A 27,864-nucleotide genomic window follows, 5' to 3' on the forward strand; every position below is an offset into this window, starting at 1 on the left:
ATTCAGTGTAGCCTATGGTTAGCATTGGACCCATCATAAATCATGACACCACTTTCTACCCCATAAATACATACAATTGTAAATTGTCAATTTACAATAAGATTATAAAAAGAACATGGACCCAAGTCATGTTGCCTAGCGTTCAAATTTCAGCTTTGTACCATACTTGCGTTATGACTCTGGGTTAATTATATAACCTCTAAGCCTCAGTTTGTTTATCTGTACAATGAGGGTAATAATAGTGTAACTACTTCATGGACTGTTAAAAGGATCAATTGAATTAATGCTAAACATAGATTTTGGTATTAAGGTTTTATGCTGGCCGCAAAACTCATAGGGTGTACCTCTTTCTGTTCTCTGGATGAATTTATGCGAAGTTTATTATTTCTTCATTAATTGTTTGGAAGATTTTACTGGTGGACCCATCTGGCCTGGGGTTTTATTTATGGAAAAGTTTTAATTGAAGATCCATTTTTTAATTTGGAGATGGGGTCTTGCTCTTTTGCCCAGGCTGGAGTGCAGTGGCGCGATCTTGGCTCACTGCAACCTCCACCTCCCTGGTTCAAGCGATTCTCCTGCCTCAGCCTCTCGAGTAGCTGGGATTACAGGCACGTCCCACCACACTCAGCTAATTTTTGTATTTTTAGTAGAGATGGGATTTCACCATGTTGGTCAGGCTGGTCTCGAACTCCTTACCTTGTGATCCGCCTGCCTTGGGCCTCCCAAAATGCTGGGATTACAGACATGAGCCACGGTACCCGGCCGATCCATTTTTTTTTTTTTAAGTGGAGGAATTTTTTAATTTTTAGTGTCTTTTGGTAAATTATGGTTTTCAAGGAATTGGTTTATTTCATCTGGATTTTCAAATTTGAGGTAAAGTTGTTAACGACCCTTTTTATTATCTTTTTTGTGTCTTGGGGCCTATGGTAATGCCTCCTTATTTCTGATATTTCTGATACCACTACCAATGTCATTAAACCTTCTAAAAACAACTCTCTTGGCTTTACTCCCTCCCCCCACACCCCTCCCGCCAACACACACACACACACACACACACACACACACACACACACACTCTCTCTCTCTCTCTCTCTCTCTCTCTCTCTCTCGCGCACGCGCGCGCGCTCTCTCTCTCTCTGTTCCTTTTGCTTACTTTGGATTTGGTTTGCTGTTCTTTTTCTCATTTCTTGAAATGGAAATTTAGATAATTGATTTCAGTTGTCTTTTCTAATATATACAGTTTTATATTGGGAAGTATTAAATTGAATGGCAAAACATTAAAACTTACGATGTACAGCTCACATCACAACTTACCTTCTATAGAGGTAAGAGGTAAGTTGAGGTGTGTGTAAATGATCACAAACATGCTGCTTCCAATTATTACATGTTTATGTAGAGTCAGGTAAGTTTTTAGGCAAAAGTGTTATTTTGAAGTTTTTATACTGTTATTTGGGGATAAGTTCTTATTGTCCAGCTATTACAGATTAGATATTCTATCGTAAGTAGTATAGAAAAGAGCTTCTGTCTGTCTCTCCTTTTTCTTCTTTCTCTGCCATTTTAGAGAAGTGAACAAGTCGGGGGTTTTTTCTCCCCCAAATAAATGTGTCAGTTTTATTCCTTTTCCTCTCTAGTTCCCATTTTCGAGACATAAAATATTAAAGTGTATGGTCACAGGTCTTGGACAGAGTTAAGACCTTCCTGTGACATAAATTTGTTAGCCAGTATTCAGGTTTTTAAAAGCGTAGTCAGAGGTTTGAGTTGGATGCTAAAGATTTCTAATTTTACACCAGAAGCTAGTAGTTAGAGTTCCAGTATCTTTCCCTCTTCCTTTTTCATTTTATACCTGCATTGTCCATGGAATTCTAACCTTTTTTGCAATGTTTCTGACTTGCATGGCTTTAGACAAAAATCAAACCTTTAATTTAACCTTACTCTTATTTTAAGGTGTACTTGATGATTTTTAGAGCTCTTGGGTTTGTGATATTCAACCTAATATTCTATGTCTACATTGTGTTCTTTTTCTTCTAAAAACTTTACATTTTTAAAGATGACTGGTAATTTAAAATAACAAAGGAATGAAACAAATTACATTATCCCTCACTCTTACATTTTGTTTTTCTCTACTTTTTAATGTTAGGATTTTATTTTACAAGATCTGACACGGTTGTACCAAGAAGCAGCAACCAAAGTGTTAATCACTGTTCAATTTAGGGCTCGCTTTTTGGATATGCTTTTTATGTGCTGGCATAAAGGGAATTTCTAAAATCAGATTTTTCACTTAATTTTTTTTAAGCATGCCTTTAAAAAAAATTCTCTTAGAGAATTTTAGGCTTTAGTATGTAGTAAAACTCGATAAATGAAACAGCCTTGGCAGAGACACCGTGGGATGAACACTCTTGGATGTGGTTGCTGGGAGGGTGCAAATTTTCTGGAATGAAATTTGGCAGTATTTGTCAGTGGCCTTCAAAGAAATTGTTTATACTGTTCTAGTAATTATATATCCAGGATCCTATCCTAAGGAAAAGTTGAAGTTCAACACAAAGGTTTATATATGAGAACATTAATTACAGCTATGTTTATGTTTGTTAGCAGTAAAAATTACCAAATACTAAACGTCCCCTTAATTTTGTTTAATTCATGCAATATTATCTGGCCATTAATATTTTTTTAAGATTCTTAATCAAAAAATTGAATACCTAGATATATTGAATGGAAAAGGACAGAGACTTATGTATAATTCCAGTTTTATTGAACATATATATGGACAGTTTTTATTTACTCTTAAAGATTACAAGGAAATAAATATCGGTGGTGTTTATAGGTGTGGAATTACAGGTGTTTTAAATTTTATTTTTTATATTTTCTATGAGCATGTGTAAACTACCTGTATATCAGGGGGCAAGGAGTTAAAAAATAATAAAGCAGGCTTCCAAAGTTACATACTTCACATCAGACATTTTTGTTGGACTTGTAACACTTGACTTCCGTGCTGTAGTTTCCTGTGCCTTGAGACCAGCTCTGTGAGCACCTGCACAGTTTTACTGTGTTACTGTGAGCACCTGCACAGTGCACCATTTAGTTACTAATTGACCATATGAGTTCATGTATAAACTTTGTGAGTAAAACATATTAATGCTGGTAAACTCATCTGTCTTCGTGCAAGTGCTTATTTATGCAACTCTTTATTTTACAACTGTTAAATAGGTGCTTGAATGATAAGGCGAGGGGCCCGTTTCTCTTAAAGGGCCATCAGCCTATAGTGAATAGAAAATTCAAGAACACATGAATAAAAATCAGTTTAAAATTTAGGTTAGTTTCATTTTGAAAGAGAAAATACCACCTGCTTTCTGAATTAAGAGTAAAGGTCATAAAAGTTCATTCACTTAGTTGTGAAAATATTATGCACTGTTAAAACGGGGGGAGAGAAAGACATGCTAAAAATGAGGAATGAAAGAGAAAAATAGCCACGTTAGTTGAAAGTGATGTTACTTATTTAAGAACCATAATCATGAACTTCTAAATAATTATTGTTTGGATAATGGTTTGGGTGTAGGGAAGTTATGGAATAATTACATTTTCTCCCTTCAAATAAAAAACAGAAGTTATAAATTACTTTATAATGTATAAAATGTGATGTATCATATTTGTGGAATAATTTCTGTCATGGCTTATATAATGGGAAATGTAAGCAGAGAGGCAGTACACATTATGATTAAGAACACAAACTATTTAGACTTTGATAGAAATCCTGAGTATAGAATTTGAGCTGTGTGATCTTGGGCTACTTACTTTCTGAGTTTTTTTTCATCTATTAAATGGCAGTAACATATTTCATTAGGTTGTTGAGGATTAGATGAAATTATTTTAAAGCACAGTAGTACAGAGATGGCCTGAAACATCATAAACTTTCAATTATTTTATCTTTTGTAAAAATTTACAATGCAGTTGTCCCTTAGTATTCATGGAGGATTGGTTCCAAGACCTCTTACCACTTGGATAGCAAAATTGGTGTATGCTCAAGTCCCTGATATAAAATGGTTTAGTATTTGAATATAACTCATGCACATCTTTCTGTATATACTTCACATCATCTCTAGATTACTTATGATGCCTAATACAGTGTAGATGCTATATAAATCATTATTATGCTATATTGTTTGGGGAATAATGACAAGCAAAAAAGTTTGTACATATTCAGCACATAGGCAATTTTTTCTGAATATTTTCGATCCAAGGTTGTTGGTTGACTTTGCAGATGCAGAACCCATGGATATGTAGGGCTATTTACAAAATTTTTAAATCTGCAATGCTTGTCTATGTTGGTGTTTGGATTACTATTTTACATATGTTATAGAAACTTAAATGTGGAATGTTTAATTTTTAATTAAGACTTCATCGCCTGATTCTTCCAATGAAAATTCCCCGGCAACTCCCCCAGATGAGCAAGGTCAAGGTGATGCCCCACCACAGCTTGAAGATGAGGAACCTGCATTTCCACATACTGACTTGGCCAAGTTGGATGACATGATCAACAGGTGAGTTGGTGTGTAACACCCAAGAAAGAGAGCAGACAGGAAAGTAACCCCACTGCCTCCTTAATAGTCTTTATAGCTTCGTCACTGCCAAGTGCTTTATAACCCATGATTCTTAATAGATTTAATAAATGAAAGGGAGTGACAGTGTTAGTAAAAATTTCACATTAATGATGATGACCCTAGTTGGGTTGTTTCCGAAGTAAAATTGTATGTTCAGTTTCCCTCTTGGAGAGTTTATGAAGTTTTTTTCTCATTGGTCTCTTGGTTGCTGGATGACTTTCATAATTTTTGGGATGGCCTGAGGTAAATCAGGTCATGAGGACATTGAGTTCCTCAGAGCCTGATCCTAGTGAACTCTTGACTAGTTTGAGCTATTTAACCATCCTAGATGTTTCCTTTTTTTGGTCTTCATCTCAGGGAACAGTTCAGAATATAATTTTTCACACTTATAGTACAAACAACCACCCTATCCCACCCCACACACTTTGATTATTTAGAGGAAACCTCCAAGAGAGTGAAGCTTTAAGCTTTTGTGCAGAGGAAGAAAAAGATTTCAAGAGGCTAGGGAAGAGCACATCAAGGAATCCCATGTGACTGTGATCTTCACCAGACTGTGGGCTCAACAAGTGAGTGCTAGGAAGGTGCGACACATTTCCCCCTCACTCCCCAAAAGGAAAGTAATGAAAACACATGTTCTTAAAGGCACTTGCTTTACTGAGTTTTTTTTTAAATTTCATTTTCTAAAAATAAGTCAACACTATTAAATGCATAATGTGAGGGGAAATAGAAATCCTTTGCATTAAAAAAAGAAATCTAAATACATAAATAATGAGTATGCGTTAACAGAAATATTTTGTGTAGGTAAATTTCTCTGTAATTTCCCCCTTACATACACATATTCCTGCCAAAAATTACTGTTAACAATCAATACATTCTTCAGATTACCTTTGTGTTTACTATCATATATGAATTGATTTTTCTATAAATAGAGGATTCTTACTATAATTTTGTAACTTGCTTTCATTTATCTTGAATATTTTTCCTATTAATAAATTCCATTGTTTTTAATTATATATTTATAAGAATACATTGTGTGATTCTGGCAGGTGCCTATAGTAATGGTATATAATAAATTATATTTAATAGTGGTCCCTGACCATTCTCTATAGCAGTGATACCATAGCAGAAGGTTGTATTGTTTGTTGCTTTTCCATACTTGTCTGGTGGTTGGTGATTGGTAATAAAATACTTCTTAGGCTAAAGTTGCATATTATTAGCAAGTTCTCAGGGGGGAGAAAAATACAAATGATTTTTTTTTTCTTTTTTTCTTTTTTTTTTTGTTTTTTGTTTTTTGTTTTTTTTGAGATGGAGTCTCGCTCTGTCACCAGGCTGGAGTGCAGTGGTGTGATCTCGGCTCACTGCAACCTTCGCCTCCTGGGTTCAAGCGATTCTCCTGCCTCAGCCTCCCGAGTAGCTAGGACTACAGGCACGTGCCACCATACCCAGCTAATTTTTGTGTTAGTAGAGATGGGGTTTCACCATGTTGGCCAGGATGGTCTTGATCTCTTTTCTTTTCTTTTTCTTTTTTTTTTCCTTTTGAGACGGTGTCTCACTCTGTTGCCCAGGCTGTAGTGCAGTAGCACAATCTTGGCTCACTGCAACCTCCGCCTCCCAGGTTCAAGCGATTCTCCTGCCTCAGCCTCCCGAGTAGCTGAGATTACAGGCATGTGCCATCACACCTGGCTAATTTTTGTATTTTTAGTAGAGACGTCATTTCACCATGTTGGCCAGGCTGGTCTCGAACGCCTGATGTCAGGTGATCCTCCTGCCTCGGCCTCCCAAAGTGCTGGGATTAGAGGCGTGAGCCACTGCTCCCGGGCAACCCTGTCTCTTACCAAAAAAAAAAAGGGGGGTGGCGGGGCAATGAAGAGGTTTATCATAATGTCTCCTTTGATCTGAATCCTGAAAGAGCACTTCCCTATGAATTTTAACAAAAATATCCATGATACCTAATTAGTTAATATTTGATTGTTATAATAGTTTTATATCCTAAGTTATCAAGATAATTTAGTTTTCTTCCCTCTCTTATTGCTGTATCTTTTGACAGTACCTGTAAAAATTTGTAGAGACATCAGGTGGTGCTTAGTCCCACAAAGCAGATAATCTGCCAACCTTGTCTTAATATTTTAATGTTATTTTAATATTAATATTAAATATTTTCATAGCAAGATAATTATAATTAGTAGCTCATTTGTAGTGCCTCTTTTAGTGTACAACCATTAAGCATGTTTTTGTTTGGTAAAACTTTTAGGCCTCGATGGGTGGTTCCAGTTTTGCCGAAAGGGGAATTAGAAGTGCTTTTAGAAGCTGCTATTGATCTTAGTAAAAAGGGTAAGTTATATGTTTTTATGCTTCCTATAATGTATGCTACTAGATGTATTTTTACTTTATCCCAAAAGCGGATGAAGTGGATTTGTTTTCCTCCATCATAAACACATACTGCAGCTTGCAAGGAGGGGCTCATATCCTTTGGACATTCTTAAAGGATGTTTGTGAACTCTCTGAGGTCACATAAAATTTATATTTGTATTTCTACGGAGTGGATTCATTGTTTCGTCAGATTTGCAAAGAGGTTGTCACTCAGAGGTTAAACATTTTTAATTGAGGGTCTTATCTGTTATGGGAAATACTATACAAAAGAACATTTTACAATTAAGTACTCTATAAATGATGGATGGTATGATGGACTCCAGACATATCTGCCCCCTGCCCTCCTTGTAATTATCTTGAGTCATTTCTGTCCTCAAAATATTACTATGTAAGTCTACAAATTATTTACACTTGACCTTTGACTGCTTTACTGAAATGACAGTGAATTAGGATGTGTGGCTCTTTGTACTCAGTAAAATTTTACCTAGTAAAATCTTCATTCATAATCCTTCAGGTAAAAATTACCATTTCATTAATATTGTACTTCTGAAATAAACTGTCTCGCTTACATATTTGTAAGATAGGGTCTTGCTTTGTCACCCAGGCTGGAGTGTGGCGATGTGATCATGGCTCACTGCAGTCTCTACCTCCTATGTTCAAGCAATCATTCTGCCTCAGCCTCTTGAGTGGGATACAGGCATGCGCCACCATGCCCACTAATTTTTTTTTTTTTTTTTTTTTTTTTGAGATGGAATTTCACTCTTGTTGCCCAGGCTGGAGTGCAGTGGCGTGATCTTGGCTCACTGCAACCTCCACCTCCCCGGTTCAAGCGATTCTCCTGCCTCAGCCTCCCGAGTAGCTGGGATTACAGGCGCCCACCACCATGCCCGGCTAATTTTTGTATTCTTAGTAAAGACGGGGTTTCACCATGTTGGCCAGGCTAGTCTCGAACTCCTGACCTCAGGTGATCCACCCGCCTTGGCCTCCCAAAGTGCTGGGATTATAGGCATGAGCCACCGCGCCCAGCTAATCTTTTTTCTTTCTTTCTTTCTTTTTTTTTTGTAGAGACAGACTGGTTCCCCAGGCTGGTCTTGAACTCCTGGGTTCAAGTGATCCTCCCACCTTGGCCTTCCAAAGTGCTGGGATTGCAGGCGTGAGCTACTGTACCCAGCCTATTTTTTTTTTTTTATTAATACACAGGAAAGGTGTGATTTTTCTCTTAAAGAATCGGAAGATGAAGTCTCAGTTTTTGTTTAACCAGCAAAAGGAAATCTGGTGTTTTTACTCAGTTGTCCAGAAAAAAAGCTTAATGCTGGAATTAATCTTTTTTTTCCCCCAATGACTTTGGTCTACTTTAGGTGCAGTTGAATTATCTAACAGAGGACTACCATTGTAATAACTTTCAATTCATTTTTTAAGATATTGCAGATTAAAAAGCAGTAACATTTCATTTTCTGAAATAGGATAGCTATGGATGTGTTATAACTAACAGTAGGCACTATCACAATTGAAACTGATTATTGTCAAAATTAACATGTTTAGTACTTTAAGTTCAACTCCATGGCAAGGGAAAGTTTGATTTATCTTTTAATAATTCCCCTCTTTTGTTTAAAGAACGTGTCCTTATGCCTCATTAATCTTGTAGAAATAATATCCCAAAGTGAAAATACAATACGCGGACAGGTTACAGTTGTTTTCACCACTCAGAATTTTTTGTTCTTTTATACGTTCACTAATTCATCAAAATTTTTTAAAGAAAATATCTTTTTTTATTTTAAAAATGTTGAATTTTTATGGGTATATAGTAGGTGTATATATTTTGGGGTAATGAGATATTTTGATACAGGCATACAATGCGTAATAATCACATCAGGGTAGATAGAGTATCCATTACCTCAAGCATTTATCCTTTGTGTTTCAAACAATCCAGTTTTACTCTCTTAGTTATTTTAAAATGTACAATTAAATTATTTTTTACTGTACTCACCGTTTTGTGCTATCAAGTAACTAGGTCTTATTCTAATTTTTGTACCCATTAACCATCCCGCTATTCTTTACGTCCGTGAGTTCAATTGTTTGATTTTTAGATCCTGCAAATGAGTGAGCACATGTGATGTTTGTCTTTCTGTGCTTGGCTTATTTCACTTACCATGGTGACCTTTTGTTCCATCCATGTTGTTGGAAATGACAGGATCTCATTTGTTTTTAATGGCTAAATAATACTCCATTGTGTATATGTACCACATTTCCTTTATCCATTTATCAGTTAACACGTAAGTTGGTTCAAAATCTTGGCTATTGTGAACAGTGCTGCATCAAACATAGTAGTGCAGATATCGCTTCAATATACTGATTTTCTTTCTTTTGGGCATATCAGCAAATTTTGGAAGACTTCTTTGCTAAGCATGTTCTAAGTCCTGACTGTAAAATGATGGATAAACACTGATTAATGGTATTTCATTTAATAGCATTGACATTCAGTGGACATGTATTCCTCCCTCCACCATATTTTTTTTCTGAGACCACGGTTATTTTCAACAAGTTCCAAATTTTTAAAAGTTTAAATTACCATCTCTTTTGTACTATCAATCAAATAATACTTTCTGTACAAATTGAATAGTTTTTATTTGGTCATTAAGAGTTACAGATTTTCTTTGTTTGGAAGCACATTGCTCTGTTGCCTTTCTAAAATGAGGTGAAATTAAGCAAAGATATAAAGAAACAGAGACACTGAGATAATTGAGAGAGGCTAATAAGGAAGACAAGACATAATTCATTTTATTTGATCAAACACAGAATAGTATAAGGATATTGATGCTAAATGAATGATTTATGAACAAAATAAGATTTTAAAAATTGGGAAATGCTTTTAAGGTCAAAGACTTATTTTCAGGGAGCAAAATACTATTTAAATTTGCCTCTTCTTGTGGTGCTGCTGATCACCATTTTGTGTTTAAGGCTAGTGCCATAATTTGTAACATTTTCAGTTAGTGTTAATATTACTCGGTTAATCTACTTTTATGCAATTAAATATTTGTTAGCTGTCGGTGAAGTTTCCAGTTATTTATTACCTTTTATTGTATATTGGACAATGTAAAAACAACCAGATGAACATTTTGTTTGCATTAATTTTTCTCCCTTTTTCTTAGGCCTTGATGTTAAAAGTGAAGCATGTCAGCGATTTTTCCGTGATGGGCTAACAATATCATTCACTAAAATTCTTACAGATGAAGCAGTGAGTGGCTGGAAGTTTGAAATTCATGTGAGTCTTGCATTTGACTTTAAAGGATCAGATTTACATAGTGATGCCTGTGAGTGGGAAGAGGTATATGTGTGTGTGGCTGTGTTATATTTATTCTGTTATAATTGAATTAAAAGGTCTAAAAATGAAAAACTTAAAAATGTTTATAAATTAAGTCTCTTGAAGGCCGCATGGTCATTTAGAATAAGCATGAGATTTAGAGTTAAGCTTGGGTTTAATCTCTCCTCTGGGATCTCAAGTGTCTGTGACCTTAGGCAAGTCATCACATTTCATTGAAAATGTAATGCTATCAATTGTAAGGTACATCACTGTTTTATGGACTATTAAGGAAGAAAAACACCCAAGATGGGGCATTTCATATACGTCTGGGACACCAAAGGGTCAGTATAGAGGTAAATGAGAAATGAACTTGCTATGCAGAAAGGGACAGCAAAAAATCCTGCATATCTCAACCTTGGCACTTGGTGGAGGGAGGGATTAAAAAAAAAAGTGAAAATCTAAACCACAAGCCAGTATTTAAACAGTTTCGTAGTCTGAATTCAAATTATAGTTGCAATACAAAAAGCCCTTAAGTGGAAAATGTAAAGTGGTCTCATGTCGGTAGTGCCCCCAAGTGACTAGCAGAAGCAAACACAATTCCTCTCTGCAAATACCTTCCATTTAGGAAAACAGTAATGTATTGTTCATTGATTATAAGATAGAGTCAGATTCCAGAGATCTTAAAAAGTGAAAAAAGTATATGTCTCAGACTGATAAAATGCCATAACTACTCTAAGTCTCTGTTGCTTTTGTTTTTTGTGTGTCCCCCCGCAAGACGGAGTCTCACTCTGTCTCCCAGGCTGGAGTGTAGTGGTGCGATCTCAGCTCACTGCAACCTCCGCCTCCCAGGTTGAAGTGATTCTTCTGCCTCAGCCTCCCGAGTAGCTGGGACTACAGGCGTGCGCCACCACGCCTGGCTAATTTTTGTATTTTTAGGAGAGATGGGGTTTCACCATGTTGGCCAGGCTGGTCTCGAACTCCTGTCCTCAAGTGATCCGCCTGCCTCAGCCTCCCAAAGTGCTGGGATTACAGGTGTGAGCCCCCATGCCCGGCCTCTGTTCTTTTGTATACTATGGAAATGGTCATAAGTTGTCAAGCAGATAATATTTTTGTGGCCTATAACCTATTTCCCAAATATGACCATAGCATAAAAATTCCACATTTTCTGATTTAACATGTAATTGTATAGGTGTAGAAATGGAAACTTTGGAAGTGGCGTCAGACTTCTGCATTTGACATTTAGCTAGCAAATTTATCTTGGATGATTGACATATTGTTTATTTTATTTATTTTTATTTTTTGAGACAGAGTCTTGCTCTGTTGCCCAGGCTGGAGTGCAGTGGCGCCATCTTGGCTTCCTTGGAGCCTCTGCCTCCTGGGTTCGAGCTATTCTCATGCCTCAGCCTCCCGAGTAGCTGGGACTACAGGCACATGCCAGCACACGTGGCTAATTTTTGTATTTTTAGTAGAGACAGGGTTTCACCCTGTTGGCCAGGCTGATCTCAAACTCCTGGCCTCAAGTGATCCGCTTTCCTCAGCCTCCCAAAGTGTTGGGATTAACAGGCGTGAGCCACTGTGCTCAGCCTGACATACTGTTTAGACTCTAGAATTGCTGCCTCTCGTGTACAAATTCCACAGAGAAAAAATAGTAACTTGCATCTTACCTGTGGACGTAGAGCAGGAATAGATATCTTATGGTGCCTCTTGTATTTTTTAAGCCATAGCAAATGGCTTTTGAAAGTACCATATAAATTATGAAGTAAACAAATTCTAATTTGTCCTTTGATAATCAGTTTGATCCCAATATTAATGATTAGAAAAATGGAGAGATCGTTATTTGTTAGGATACGATTAATATTGGAAGATATTTCTGTTTGAAATTGCAGTGTTTTGATCTTGTAAATCGCCTTTCCCCCTTGTATAACAGAGGTGTATTATTAACAATACTCATCGTCTGGTGGAGCTATGTGTGGCCAAGTTGTCCCAAGACTGGTTTCCACTTTTAGAACTTCTTGCCATGGCCTTAAATCCTCATTGCAAATTCCATATCTACAATGGTACACGTCCATGTGAATCAGTTTCCTCAAGTGTTCAGTTGCCTGAAGATGAACTCTTTGCTCGTTCTCCAGATCCTCGATCACCAAAGGTGTGTTGGTTTGTTATTTTCAAAATTAAATAATACAATTGTTTTGTTCTGACACAGAATCTTCAGTGATCTGTATTTAAAGTGTGACAATGAAATAACACTTTAAATGAAAATACACACAACCAGGAGCCTTTTTCGTAGCTTTGTCGTTCTAGTTCTTTGTTTTTTCTGCATGTATAATTATCCCCATTGTCTTCTGTCCAGCCTCTTTAGAAGTAGTCATAATTTGGGTTAGTAGGAAACAGACTGTATTTTTTCTTTGAAATAGAGTAGGAGATTACTTCTTTGACCAAGGACTCAATTGTTGTTCTGTAGGGCCGTGATCATTTTAGGCATTCTAAGATTTTGACTCCAAAATCAAGTATATCCTCTAAATACCTAATAATACATCATAAAATTACAGAAATTGTTAATGAAATCAATATAGTAAATCTTCCAAATCTCACTTAAATATATTGTGTACATAAATGTAAGTTTTCTATATTGGTGTAAACAGACTGTACACTTTAAAAAATTTTTCCCTAAACGCTGCTTCTTTTAATAAATATTATATAATTTTAAAATTTTAGATTTTAGGGAGACATTTTTAATATTATAGGTCTTGTACAAATTTCCCTTTTTCTATCCAGCCAGAAAGATTTTAAGTCATACATTATGGAGAACTTGGTTTATTTTACTAATAAGCTGAAGTTATCAAAAAAAGGTCAAACTTAAGTTGAGATTTTCTGATATTTCCTAGTTCATATAGTTGCCACTAGATGGCTTATTTTTGCTTGAGTAGATCAGGTTACTATCTAAATAATGGCAGTCTTCAAAATGAAAATTTTAATCTATACCTGTATTTCTTTTTAAATTTTACTTTTTTTTTTTCTCTATGTGCCAGTAATCCACAACTTAAGAGATTCACAGGGCACAAAACTTGATTTAACATGGCTAAATGTAAAATTTTTAGATGACTTCTGGTTGAAGATAGTTTTATATCTTTGAAATATAGTTCTTGCTATTAAACTTATAAAGTGTAGCGATTGTGAGAGTGTTAGCCTTTCAAAGCCTTCAAGAGTACAATTTTTAAAAATATAGCCCAAAATATAGTTGCGAATCAAGGAGAAGCATATTCTATGGAGTTACCTTCACATTTACTTGCTATTGAAGTAAGAGAAATTTTATCATACAGCTAAACAGGTCTTCTATAAGCTTTTAAAAATCTGATTAAAAGGGGACATGTTTGGCAGCATCTTCAACCATGTCCTAGTTGAATGCAGATGTCATGATATAATGAAAAATCTAAGAGATATGTAATAGCCTCCATATGTTTTTTTCTCCTGTTCTCCAAAAGTGGTAGTGGCAAAATTCAGATCATCAGACTTAGTCGATGGAGATAAACTTTCTAAGCTGTAGATTCACTTTCGGATACTGTTTGTAATGAGTTTCATTTACCTTTGAGAAATTTGAGTTACAGAGCTTAAAAGTGTTTTATTCGGAATATTTTTGAGCCTTAATACTTAATCATTCTCTGGAGCTTTTGGTAGGTCTTCTGTTCTACTTCAAATTCTCTCTACACCTCCTACCCTCCTGGGACATTGAACCTCTGTGGCCTCAACTTTTGACCCATGACAAAGCTAAAGCTGTCAGGACTATCTCTCAGAGTGTTTCCTAATCCCCATCTTCCCCCAAGATGTTTGAAGATGTTTAAATGAGATCATTTATTCAAACATTTAAAATATAATAAAAACTTCATTGGTTACGACAAAAGGTCTTAGGTGAAATTCACCATGCTATCTTTGAGAAAAGGAACTTGTAGCAATAGAAAACTATGTGGAAAGCATATGGTGAATTGTAAGCTATGTGGTCATTTTGAATTTTCTATTTAGGGCGACTGATCTTTCTCTGCCAGTCTTGAAAACTTAGAGCCAGAGAAGGAAAGCTGTTGTTGGCAGCTGCTGAAGCTAGCCTATTAGCCTCAGTTTGAAGCACTCTTATCTGAATATTCCCAATTGTTTAAGCATACATTGCAGCCAAAGAAATACAGAAAGATTAGCTTTAGACTAATTCTTTACTGTGTCCACACCTGCTGTTTTATAAATATTGTATGTAACTATCAAGTATATCAATCTAATAGTCTCATTATAGTTACTGAAGAAATAAAATATATTACATAATGAGCATGTACTTTCTTACAATTGCTGAATGACAAAAGGGATCTGGTGAATTAAGTACTCGAGTTTTAATGGTTTTGAATTAGCCTTTCATGACTAAAAAGGTAGGAAAACACTATTAAATTGAAATACGTTAATGGGTTTATTAGAGAAACTTAGTTCATTCATATTCTTTTAAAACCATATAAAAACTAGCAGTAGGCCAGGCAAGGTGGCTCACGCCTGTAATCCTAGCACTTTGGGAGGCCAAGACGGGTGGATCACCTGAAGTCAGGAGTTCAAGACCAGCTTGGCCAACATGGTGAAACCCCATCTCTACTAAAAATACAAAAATTAGCCGGGTGTGGTGGTGTGTGCCTATAATCACAGCTACTTGAGAGGCTGAAGCAGGAGAATCCTGCTTGAACCCTGGAGGCAGAGGTTGCAGTGAGCCGATAATCACACCATTGCACTCTGGGCGACGAGAGTAAAACTCCATCTCAAAACAAAAAAACACACAGAAAAAACTAGCATTAGCTATCATATTTTCTCTTTAAACAAACATTGAACATACAGCCATTTAGCATCTTTACTTTTTCCTGTATTTTTTTTTTAAATAGCTGTAGAAATTATTTTTGCTTAAGGCTTAGAAGAGAAATTGTGTATTTTGCTCCTTGTTTTCCAGTGGCTTCTAAAACATGGCCTAAATTTTAGAAGGTGGCAAGGTGTGAAAGGTTTTCTTAGGTACATTAATTTCTACATATATTTGATTCTTATATTTATATAGCCTTTTAATTCATTTTAGGTTTTTACATACAGACAGGCTTTTAGCCTCACAACTGTTGTCTGTGCCAGCTGTATGGTACTTTGAGCTACAGCTCTTTCTTAGACAGTTCATCCTGTTGCATGGTGTTACTTCTAAGATAAGGAGAACTGGGTGCAATTTGTATAAGCAAAAGTATCAACCAGCATATTCTACTTAGGAACAGTAGATACTAGTACCAGACCTTAGTTTTTAATTGACAATTGACTCTCAGGCTATTAGTTACTGTGTTTATAGGGAAATTTTAATGTTTTACAACTAAACAAGAAGTAGATTCAAAATTCATTACCAAGTAGCTTCTTCTTAACTCTCTTGAAGTCTTTCTGCCTCCTGAAAATTATTTTAATATAAAAGACTTTACAGTAATTAGAAGGTATTCATTCTTATATGGTGGGATATCTGAAATAGGAGCATGTCTTCTAATTCCTGTTCACCACTTACATTGGTACAGACAGACAGAACTATGCCCCAGTGATTTAATCTATACTTACTACGTATACTGCTTCTGTCTCACAGATGGAATTACTATGAACAAAATGCAATGTTTTGTGGTCCTTTGAAAGATGATTTATTTTATTGAATTTACTATTTCTAGTATATTTCAATAAGGCTTTTTTTTCGTGCTTTTTACCCTTTAAAGTAGGAAGTTAACTTTTTTCATTAATTGTGTTACAGGGTTGGCTAGTGGATCTTCTCAACAAATTTGGCACTTTAAATGGGTTCCAGATTTTGCATGATCGTTTTATTAATGGATCAGCATTAAACGTTCAAATAATTGCAGCCCTTATTAAGTAAGTTACATTTAAAAATCAATGGTTAGTGCACCGTAGAATTGCTGGTTTTTGCTTCATAAAAATTGAGTTTTTCAAGTGTGGTTTCTTCAACTAATAACTGGGATTTTTTAAAAGTAATATAAAGAATTTAGTCCTAAATTGATTTTAAGAAATTGCGTATTTACAGGAGTTTTGTATCTTTCTTATTTCAGACCATTTGGGCAATGCTATGAGTTTCTCACTCTTCATACAGTGAAAAAGTACTTTCTTCCAATAATAGAAATGGTTCCACAGTTTTTAGAAAACTTAACTGATGAAGAACTGAAAAAAGAAGCAAAGAATGAAGCCAAAAATGATGCTCTTTCAATGATTATTAAATCTTTGAAGAATTTAGCTTCAAGGGTTCCAGGACAAGAAGAAACTGTTAAAAACTTAGAAATATTTAGGTTAAAAATGATACTTAGGTAAGATACTTACCTCTTGAAATAATTGTTAATGCCGATTTTAGAATCATACTTATCACTGAATTTTTCTTACAGATTATTGCAAATTTCTTCTTTCAATGGAAAGATGAATGCACTGAATGAAGTTAATAAGGTGATATCTAGTGTATCATACTATACTCATCGACATGGTAATCCTGAGGAGGAAGAGTGGCTCACAGCTGAACGAATGGCAGTGAGTCTTTCAGTTCTTCTTCATAGGAATAAGAATCTACTTAAGACAAGAAATTAGAATAGCTCTAGCTAAAAAAATTAGTAATAGTAACATTTTAAAGTAAACTGAAATTGGGAGGTGTTTTGATTGATTTATAACTCTGTTAATCCTGAGAACTTTTTGAAATAACATAGTTTATTATTTGGTAGTGATATGGGTAGCTTTAAAACATCTTTGATAAACTTAGTGATGAATGTGGCGTTTTGAAGTAATTATTAGTTTGTTGGAGAGTGGGAAGTTGGTTGAAATGGAGTAGGTAGAGTTGATCTAGAAAATGGATTGGGTAGTATCTAGTACCTTATAAAGTGGCCTATTGTTCATTTGACCATTTACAGTTAAACGTTTTAAAACAGGAAATAAAATTACTAGAATAAGATCTATACAAATTGTTTTATCACGATTTTGAGAATTTTATTTTGAAAGCCCTTATTTTGACATTGAAATTTTATGAAACTTTATGTACCATAGCTATTTTGTATTATATTGTTTTGAAATGAGTAAGTATGCCATTTAAGTTACAGTGCCAATATTTTTTGAATGTATATGTGTAACAGTCCTGGGGAAACATCTGTAGGAGAACTGTCCTTGCCCTCAAGGAGCCCTCACTTAATAGGGGAGTTAGTGATTAGAGTATGTTAAAATGCATGTGGAGACTGCTTAGATATTGCCCTGTGTTAGGGGGTCAGGTGGTAGACATCTGGTTTCATACATATGATGTACGTATCTGCCTCATGGAAAGTCCAGCACAGAGCTATTCAAAGTGTGCTCTGAAGACTGGTGCTGGTTCTTGAACCAGTCCTAGATAGGACAGAGAATGGCATTAAGTGTTTAGAAACTTTCATTGCAGTTTGACATTGCGACATTTTTATTGTGTTTTACAAAATTATCTGTGGCTCTGCAGTGGCTCACGCATGTAATCCCAGCACTTTGGGAGGCCGAGGAGAGATTGCTTGAGGCCAGGAGTTTAAGACCAGCCTGGGCAACAAAGCGAGACCCTGTCTCCATATTAAAAACATATGTGTATATATGTAGAATAACATAAAAACAAATATCTGCAACAGATTAGACATTAAAAACTGGCTCATTATCAGCTGAGACATGTACTTCTCTAGCACATTTTGGGCCTAACTACTTTTTATTCTCAGCTAAATACTGCAAAATCATATAGTGTGGATTACTCCCTGTTTGTATCATGAGTTAGCACTTTATTCTGTTGCTATAGATTAAATGAATGCTAGTTGAGCAAGCTAGCACAGTGTTACAGAAAAACAGACTGTGGAAGCATATGACTTGATTCATATTCCAATTCTAGCATCTGTGAGCCTGTTTACATTTTGTAATAGAATAATGTATCTCTTACTAGGATTGTTTGGAAAATTAAAGAGATAATGGATAAGCAATAATAGTGCCTAGCACATGATAATTGTTAATAAATAAAAGTAAAAAATAGAGAGCCTTTTTACCCAAGGTCAAAACATAATTCTGTGGCAAAATTGGGATAAAGAATCCAAAGATCCTAAAATTGGTCCTGTACTCACCCTACCATGGTGATTGTGTACTTAAATAATATTTTTCTGAGTAAATGCTGGAGTGTAGAATCTTCTTAATTTCAGTATTATTTATGGGAGCATTTCTGTATGTGCAAAATTGTTATAAAATTTCATAATTTTCCATTAAAGCAACACATAAGTATATTTTACCAGTATTATATTTTGTAAATGTGTTTTGAATTTCCTTATATTATTTAATAATAGTGTGAGCAATTAAGAAAAAATTGTTTTAATTTCTGCTTTCAAACACGTTTTTGAATTAACATTTAGGAATGGATACAGCAGAACAATATCTTATCCATAGTGTTGCGAGATAGTCTTCATCAGCCACAGTATGTAGAAAAGTTAGAGAAGATTCTTCGTTTTGTCATCAAAGAAAAAGCTCTGACCTTACAGGATCTTGATAATATCTGGGCAGCACAGGTAAGGAATTTAAGATGATGGCTATTTAGTTTTTAAAATAAAGATACTAAAAACTGAAGAAATACAGTAGCTGTCATGAAATGGATGCAGGCTTGTATTGTTTGACTTTGAGAACGTTTAAATGCTTGTTACCCTGCCAGGAATCTTTTTGAAATAACCAATAATCTTTTAAAAATAAAAATATTCTTTTATCTGTATTTGATAAAGGTTGAGAATTTGTCAGTGGTTTTAAATAAAGATGCAAACAGTAAAATCATAAGGAATGTCTATTGAAAGAGAGTAAAGACATCTGTAATTGGTTTCTTCATAGATTTAATAGAAAGCAAAAACCTCCAGTGTCAGGAGAATTAATTCACTTGATTATTTATAAAGACCTGTAATAATTATTCCAGAGAATTTATAACTCTTCAGAAGGATTAGTAACCTTTTTAGTTTTTGAGTTGGAAACTACAACTCCTTCTATTATCTTAATGACAGTTTTCTAATCGTGGATTTCTTGGGAAGCATTATTGAGTTGTAGATTATAAAGCTTTGTTTTTTTAGTCTATAAAAACCAAGAAAACAGCTTTGCCTTTGAGTGCTTAAGGTTCCAGTTTTGAAACAATATTGTTAGTGTGCCTTATTTTTGTATTTGCAATATTAAAATTGTCAAATTAAATAAATTGTATTAAAGGTTTGTATGAACCGCCAAAATACACATTAGCTGTATTTATTATATCATGAAATTAAGTTGCCAGGTTTTAGATGGCAGTTCTAAAGCATTTTATAATGTTAGAATTTTTTTTTTTTTTTTTGAGATGGAGTTTTGTTCTGTTGCCCAGGCTGGAGTACAGTGGCTCGATACCGGCTCACTGCAACCTTGGCCTCCTGGGTTCAAGTGATTCTCCTGCCTCAGCCTCCCGAGTAGGTGGGATTATAGGCATTTGCCACTGTGCGGGCTGTGTTAGGAATTTTCTTGTGTTACATAGTTAAATGAAGGAGATAGGAGTACTTTATTAATTGTCAGCAAGCAGTATACACTACTTAATCTATTACTCAGATTCTTGTGCATTGTGATTTCGTTTTTGTTTTTCAATAGGCAGGGAAACATGAAGCCATTGTGAAGAATGTACATGATCTCCTGGCAAAATTGGCATGGGATTTTTCTCCTGAACAACTTGATCATCTTTTTGATTGTTTTAAGGTAATTGTTAACATAGCAAAATATTACCATTCTATTTCAAATAGAATTGATTAATTAGATCTGTGAATTACTTTTAGCCAATAAATACTTAAATAGAAATCCCATTAAACAGTCTGTGGTGTGAAGGAATTGGCCCATTGTTTTCTTTTCCAACAAGAACTTGATGTTCATTTTCTTAATAGCCCCCATAATGGAAACTCAGGCTATCACTTTTTCTTTCTTTCCCCTGGTAGTTTCTATTTTAGTTACAGGTTCAAGCAAATTGTAGGACTACAGGGAAGGATGATTGGCTACAATAAACAGTAAGATGAAAGCAAGAGAATACCAATATCTTGGTATTCTGGGGTCATATGTACAAGCAAAATATGAGTTAATCAAAATGTAACTGATAAGGTAGCCCAAGAACTCCTCCTACAGTCATATCTGCATTGATGCCATCATGTTGGTTTTTGAGGCCATGTTTTGTAACATCTTTGATTAGTTGCCAGGGTTAGGTTTGTGAAAGCTCAAGTGGTTAGTGAATTTGTGGATTAAGAACGTAACTTTTTGGCAGTTTGCACTAAGAGGTGTTCTGTTAACAACTGGCATTAGATCAATAGGTCACCAACGTTTCTTGTTAAAAATAATAATTATACTGACCAGTGGGAACATAAATTGCTATAGCCACTTTGGAAAATACTTGGTATTTCTGGTAAAGTTTAAGATTCTCATAACTCATCAGTTTGACTTCTGAATATACACTTGAGAAACTCATGCTTATGTACACCAGGATACGTGTTCAGCAACACTTGTTAGCAGAATTACTTGTAATAGTGAAAAAACCTGCTATGTAGGATAGATAAAACATAGAATAGATAAATTATGGAATGTTCATACAGTGCAATATTTCACGGCAATGAAAGAGCAACTCAACCATATGGATGAGTCTAATAAACAGAAGGTTGAAGAAAGGAATAAAGCCACACAGTAATTAATACACCTTGATTACATTAATGTAAAGTTCCGAAATGGGCACAGCTGGTTTCTGGGATGTTACTTGCCGTGTATTATTTTTTACCTGGGTACTAGTTACACAGGTGTTCACATTGTGTACTGTAATAATGGTATATGCTTGTACTTTTCTAGATATTTCACAGTAGAAGAAAAAAATACCATTTTTACTGGCTTCCATCACAGACATGTTAGATCAGTAGGTACTGAAGCCCAAGAGTCTGTATTTTAAGCAAGTTTCACAGATAAGTCTTAGGGACATTAAAGCTTTGATTTATGGAAAAATCGCTGCCTTATGGAAAATTTTATTTTGAAGGGAACAAATTATTGAGTGAATCTTTTATGTGGTTTTTATATATTTTGTTTCTATACATGTAAAAGCAAAACTTAAATACTTTTTCCATCCATTGAAGTATATCAAAGGCAGCTGAGGAAATAATAGAATTGGTCATCATGGGCACTGCAAAGATAAAGACTTCCGAAATGATGATACGTGACCAGTGATGCCTTTGATGAGAGAAGGAAAAAAAGGGGTTGTTATTATATCTGCTGTATCCCCCCTCTTCTCAGGATAGTCTAAATACAATAATGGTCTGAATATAATAATAATTCTTCATGTTCTTCCCCCTTTGGCTTAACATATGTTTATTGAGCACTTGTCATTTGGTAACAAGCACTTTTTTCCCAAGGTGTTGGTAAATCTGGCAATTCTTATGGAGTGTTGAAAGTTTCTGCTAAAGATGATTTTGAAAGGAAGCAATGAAGTCTGAGTCACCTTGTGGTTCTTTGCAGATTGCAACCAAATGATTCCAACCTTCTGGGTTAGACTTTGCTTTATGTACTTGGCCTAGAGCCTAGTTTTTAAACATTTGAGTTCTAAGTAAGTTTCATATCTTTGCCAGCACTTGTTCTTGTCAGAGTTCTGAATTTTTGACAATCTTCTTGGTGTTTGAAATGTTACCTCATTGTGCTTGTGCTTTTAGTTTTTATATCCCTTGATCAATAATGAGATTGAGTATCTTTCTGTATATTTTTTGAGCTATTTGCCTTTTTTTTTTTTTTTTTTTTGGGTGAATGCCTGTTCCCCCCCTCCCCCCACCGTGGCATTATTTGTATATTTTTTGGATTGTAGTTCTTGATATATTTTGAATGCTAATCTTTGTCAGTTCAAGAGTTACAAATAATTTCTCCCAATTTGGTTATCTTTTTCATTCACTTAATGGTTGTACTGGTTGAATAGATGTTCTTAATTTCTCCTTTTCATGTAGTTTGTATGTCTAAAAGATGAGTACATGAAAAAATTCACGATACCATTATCTACCTAAAAAACAATAATTCCTTAATATCATAAAATAGTTTTAAAACTTCCAGTTGTCTTAGATCATACATCTTCATTTTAGAAGTGAGTTTTAATCAGGATCCTGGTGCAGTCCATGTGTATGTCTTTTAAGTCTCTTTGAAACTAGCTTTCTTCTTTTTTACTTCCCTTGCAATTTATTTGTTGAAGAAACTGGATTGTTTGTTGCCTTGGTGTCTGTCAATAGTTTTGATACAGAAGGTTTTTTTTTTTTTTAATTTTACTAGAGCATATCTCAAGTGGTGGTGTGCTTTTCCTTGAGGAGGAATACCTAGTTGTCTCTCTTTTTATAATGTTAGCTAGAGGTTTTTAATTGTAATCTGATATTTTAGTCTTACATTTTTAGCAGTTGTCATATTCCTTTTGTTATTTTGTGTAGGCTGGAAGGAAATAAAAACAGGCATTCACATCATCTTTGAAGACGTACCATATTAATAATTCCATTGAACTAATCTTCTCTCATTAACTTAATCGTTGTTTTTTTTTTTTTTTTTTTTGGAGACAGAGTCTCACTCTGTCACCCAGACTGGAGTGCAGTGGCGCGATCCCAGCTCACTGCATCCTCCACTTCCTGGATTCAAGCAATTCTCCTGCCTCAGCCTCCCAAGTAGCTGGGATTACAGGCATGCGCCACCACGCCCAGCTAATTTTGTATATTTAGTAGAGATGGGGTTTCACCATGTTAGCCAGGCTGATCTTGAACTCCCGACCTCAGGTAATCTACCTGCCTGGGTCTCCCAAAGTGCTGGGATTATAGGCGTGAGCCACCGTGCCCGGTCAGCTTAATCGTTCTTCTGCTGTTTGACGTTAAGTTCGTTTCAGTTTATTTTCTAATAAACACTGATCAGCAACTTAGTGCATTTGCTGCTGCTATAACAGAACACCACAGACTGGGTAATTTATAAAGAACAGAATTTTATTTGGCTTATGATTCTGGAGGTTGGGAAGTACAAGAGGCATGGTGCCAGCTTAACCGTGAGTTTTGGGGGGGACATTCGAACCATAGCAGTAACTTTACTCATAAAACTTTTCCCATATTGCTTAGCAGCATCCCTGGTCTCTACTCACTAAATGCCATTAGTACCCTGCCCTTCCCCAAGCATGATAACCATGTTGTATTACAATACCATTTTAGAGGTTTTAAAAAAATGTATTTTAGAGTTTTTAATTGGGTGTCTTCTAAATTGAAATAGTGTATCATTTATTTTTCTTTTTTGGAATTTAACTCTACCCTATAAAAAAAATACCAGGCTAACTATATTTTCAGATCTCACTTGAATCATTCTGTGCTTAGCTACGTTGCTTTTGATGAATTTGAATATAGTTAACCTGGTGACAATTTATGAAGTGGTGACTAAATATGTGTTGTTTTCATGTCACTTAATTTTTTTCTAGGCCAGTTGGACAAATGCGAGTAAAAAGCAACGTGAAAAGCTACTTGAGCTGATACGTCGTCTTGCAGAAGATGATAAAGATGGTGTGATGGCACACAAAGTGTTGAACCTTCTGTGGAATCTGGCTCACAGTGATGATGTGCCTGTAGATATCATGGACCTGGCTCTCAGTGCCCACATAAAAATACTAGATTACAGTTGCTCCCAGGTAAGAGTGTACTGCTTTGCTCACTTTTTGTGACTTTTCCCCTTCAGTTAGGTTGGCTTAGTTACAGGATAGTTCTGTTACTCTGACATTGTTAGTTTTTAAATGATCTTCCGGAGTTGACTTTTTTTGTTCATTAGTCTGCTTTCCTTAGGATCTGTACATCAAGGTTTTGTGACTCATCTGAAAAGCATTTTAGTCTCCTTGGGAGAAAGTATAAACAGAACAGATTATACAGTGGTGGCATTATCAAGTGTATGGTTCTGAAATGCCGTTTCGAATAGAATTCGAATGTTAAAGCTGATAGGGACTTCAGAGGGAAGAGAAATTAGGTTTTCTTTGCTCATAGGGAAGTTAAGAAAAATTAATAGAATTTCCTAACCATTAAAACATTTAGTGCCTCCACAGTGAGCAAATCACACAGTTTCCCTACATTCTAATTTGTGGCATGTGTATTTTTTAACACATGGTAAAGTGAACATTGCTGAGTAATTTCTCACATGTTAATAAAACTATTTGTTACACTGATGAACTGGTATTTAGGTAAGAGCCAAGAAAAGCTCAGGAAGGTGTATTAATGTAGATACTACTCAGGTTTTGACTATGTTTACTTGTGACAGTTCGGTAAGTATTTATTCAGCAAATTAAATAGTAATAAGGGCCTTGAGTATAAATTATTTCATTAAACCAAGGGTCCTTCTGAGGAGTCTTGAAATCAGAGCAGTACATTTGCTATCAGGGCTTTTAACTAGTAACTTCTTTTTTAAATATCTATTAGTATCAGTGCCTGGCATAGTGATGTACACATTCATTCATGAATAGTTACTGAGTTTCACTGAATTTAGTAGACTGTTGCCTTTTTTCAACTTCAACTTTCATTTATTGTTTGGGAAAAAATTTTTAAAAGTCATTTTCCAACTGTCACCTTTTCCCTTCTGCTTGCCAAAACTGTTGTCAAAGTGTACATTTGATCATAAATGTTTTCATGGCCTTAAAAATGTACACACTATTAAACCCAACAATTCTACTTAGAGAAATTTCTTCTCGGAAATAGTGAAAAAGGATACAAAGAGGTACCCACAAGGACATTCATTAGTGTTTATGGACATGAACATGTGGAAGCCTCCTGAATAATTACTTTTTTTTTTTGAGACGGAGTCTTGTTCTGTCGCCCAGGCTGGAGTACAGTGGCGCAATCTCGGCTCACTGCAACCTCCGCCTCCCAGGTTCAAGCGATTCTCCTGCCTCGGCCTCCCCAGTAGCTGGGATTACAGACACGTGCCACCACACCCAGCTAATTGTTTTGTACTTTTAGTAGAGACTGGGTTTCACCATGTTGGCCAGGCTGGTCTCGAACTCCTGACCTCAAGTGATCCACCCGCCTCGGCCTCCCAAAGTGGTGGGATTACAGGCATGAGCCACAGCTCCCAGCTGTGAATAATTACTAATAGTTTATACAAGGTTCGATTATGGCGCCATTAAAAGGATTAATATCACTTAAGAGTATGATTCTAATTTTGCTGCCGAAAAAGGAATATCTGTGTATTACAAAATAACCCCAAACTTGAGGGGTTTCAGGAAAAAAAAAAAACAAAAAACTCCACAAAATTGTTTTCCTTTCCCTGTACGCAAAAGTAAAACAATCCGAGCTTACGAAATTGTTAGGCACACAAACTTGCAGTTCTGATTACTATTGACTTTAGGGGAAGAGGTGAAGTAACTGAGGTTTGAGAAGTAAAATACCATAATTGAAATAATTTTGAGTTTATAACATTTTTAATTTTTAAGTTTATATCTGCCTCTGTCCTTTTTCTCTCCTTGTACGTGTGTTTCTTTATTTTGATTTTGGCGATTATTTTTAAATGTAGTTGTCATTCTATTTATTTTCTTAGTCAAATATACATTTTTTGTGTTCTTCACTGTACTAAAAGATGGCCCATTTAGAGTAAGTCAGGGTCTTGTTATATATTAATTCTGGATTTTATGATACGGTAGAATCTCTTAAAATACTGGCTAAATACCTACCCTCTGGCAAACTTGGAAAATGAAACTTTCTGTCAGTGTGCCTAATACTTAGGATCTGTAGTGTGTACAGATATATTTCAGTCCATATAATACAAAGCTTTTATAACAGTGCTGGGCTTTTTGGAGTTCTGGTAGTAAGTGTGAAATAAAAACAAACTTAAAGCTTTTATTATTTAAATTAAACTCTTTACTGTAATTACAACATGATGCTTGTATTGCTAATCTTAAAAGAAAAGCTTTTATTTTATAATTCTCAAAATAATTTGAAAATAAAATTCTCCTGAGTATTGATCTATTTAAAACATTGAAATCATTTGTTTAAGGACCGTGATACACAAAAGATCCAATGGATAGATCGCTTTATAGAAGAACTTCGCACAAATGACAAATGGGTTATTCCCGCACTGAAACAAATTAGAGAAATTTGTAGTTTGTTTGGTGAAGCGCCTCAAAATTTGAGGTAAGACTTTTTAACATAGAAAATTTCAATACTTAAAATTTATGTACTTTATTGAAAAGAAACAGCATATTGGCTGGCAAATGCAAATTTTTAAATTAGTGGAGTGAGAAGAGGCTATATAAGAAGTGTTTGGAACAAAAGAATTCTTTATTACATCTACCTCCTTTTTTTTTATTAATGAGGAAGTAAGCCACAGTTAAGTGATAAATCAGAATCAAGGTAATATTGCCTTTGGGTTCTTGGTTCAGAATTATTATTATATACATACTATATTTCCAGCAAGTATGCCAAGAAGTTTCATAGCATGTCTTTAAAGATGGATTAGACCACAAGAACATTTAAATTGATGAAACATGACAAGATAAAGTTTCATAATTTTTAAACATTTATTTTAGCTAAATTTCTTTTTAATAGCTGTCTTTATACTATCTTAGGTGTCATATTCTGGTTACTGAAATAATTTGTCCTATTTTCTGGTAATACAGTTGGAACTGATAACATGAAAAGGAAAAATAATGTGAAGAGAAAGAGAGCAGGGTGCAGTAGAAGGAATATTCACAGTGGAGTCAGGATTCCTAGGTGTGAATCTTGTGTCAAACCAGTAATTTAATCTTGTAAAAATTCTGTAAAGAATCATGTTTGGCCTGGTGCGGTGGCTCACGCCTATAATCCCAGAACTTTGGGAGGCCGAGGAGGGCGGATCACCTGAGGCCAGGAGTTCGAGACCAGCCTGGCCAACATGGCGAAACCCCGTCTCTACTGAAAATACAAAAATTAGCCGGGCGTGGTGGCATGCGCCTGTAGTCCCAGTTACTCGGGAAGCTGAGGCACTAGAATCGCTTGAGCCCGGGAGGCAGAGGTTGCGGTGAGCTGAGATTGCAGCACTGCATTCCAGCTTGAGCAACAGAGTGAGACTGTCTCAAAACAAAAACAAAACAAAACCAAAAAACATGTTTTCTTTATATGTAAGATTAAATGATTGCCAGGATCCTTTACAGCTCTAGATTACTATGATTATACCTCAGACAGAAATAGAAAAGGTCATGTATATGTCTTTATTTAAACAGTTGAACTTTGTCTCACTTTTTTCCCTAAGGCTAGAAAAAATTAGCAAATTGGAAAAGCTATAGAGATAAACACTGTAAGAAATTGAGACATATATCTCGTTAACAATAATATTTGAGGAGCATATTTTGAGTATGTTTGGCTCATCGTACATATTTCGGCCTTTCTCAAATGAATGCATTTATCTTTCGAAGTAGACACAGTAGTTCACATACTCTCCCAAGAACAGTGGCCTTGTCTCCCCTAAAATAGTAGTAGTGGATGTGAAAGTTGATTGGTTTCAGTGAAGGTAGCAAAACAGATTAGGGTTTCAATGAAGATAGCAAAACAGATGAGTCTTTGTGGTGACACC

The 27,864-nt window shown here is 35.3% G+C and overlaps 1 protein-coding gene across 8 annotated transcripts in view, besides 1 other annotated feature; it reads left to right on the top strand.

Moving 5' to 3' along the window:
• Positions 1-27,864, top strand: part of USP9X (ubiquitin specific peptidase 9 X-linked) — a 151,135-nt gene that overhangs the window by 39,166 nt on the left and 84,105 nt on the right. For all 8 annotated transcript variants that reach the window (NM_001410748.1, NM_001410749.1, XM_047442548.1 and 5 more), the window contains 11 exons: positions 4,390-4,535; positions 6,847-6,926; positions 10,115-10,227; positions 12,194-12,412; positions 16,046-16,161; positions 16,356-16,607; positions 16,683-16,821; positions 18,681-18,833; positions 19,912-20,016; positions 23,759-23,965; positions 26,311-26,447. In NM_001410748.1, the coding sequence (NP_001397677.1) occupies positions 4,390-4,535; positions 6,847-6,926; positions 10,115-10,227; positions 12,194-12,412; positions 16,046-16,161; positions 16,356-16,607; positions 16,683-16,821; positions 18,681-18,833; positions 19,912-20,016; positions 23,759-23,965; positions 26,311-26,447 (1,667 nt within the window). The remainder of the gene's footprint in view (positions 1-4,389; positions 4,536-6,846; positions 6,927-10,114; positions 10,228-12,193; positions 12,413-16,045; positions 16,162-16,355; positions 16,608-16,682; positions 16,822-18,680; positions 18,834-19,911; positions 20,017-23,758; positions 23,966-26,310; positions 26,448-27,864) is intronic.
• Positions 7,307-7,807: an enhancer, noted in NCBI's record as "H3K27ac hESC enhancer chrX:40991170-40991670 (GRCh37/hg19 assembly coordinates)". NCBI's record gives its function as "activates a minimal SCP1, AML or CMV promoter by ChIP-STARR-seq in naive H9 embryonic stem cells {active_cell/tissue: H9 hESC(naive)}" and the evidence as "EXISTENCE:reporter gene assay evidence [ECO:0000049][PMID:30033119]".

Source organism: Homo sapiens, chromosome X (assembly GCF_000001405.40).
Source record: "Homo sapiens chromosome X, GRCh38.p14 Primary Assembly".
NCBI classification, from domain to species: Eukaryota; Metazoa; Chordata; class Mammalia; order Primates; family Hominidae; genus Homo; species Homo sapiens.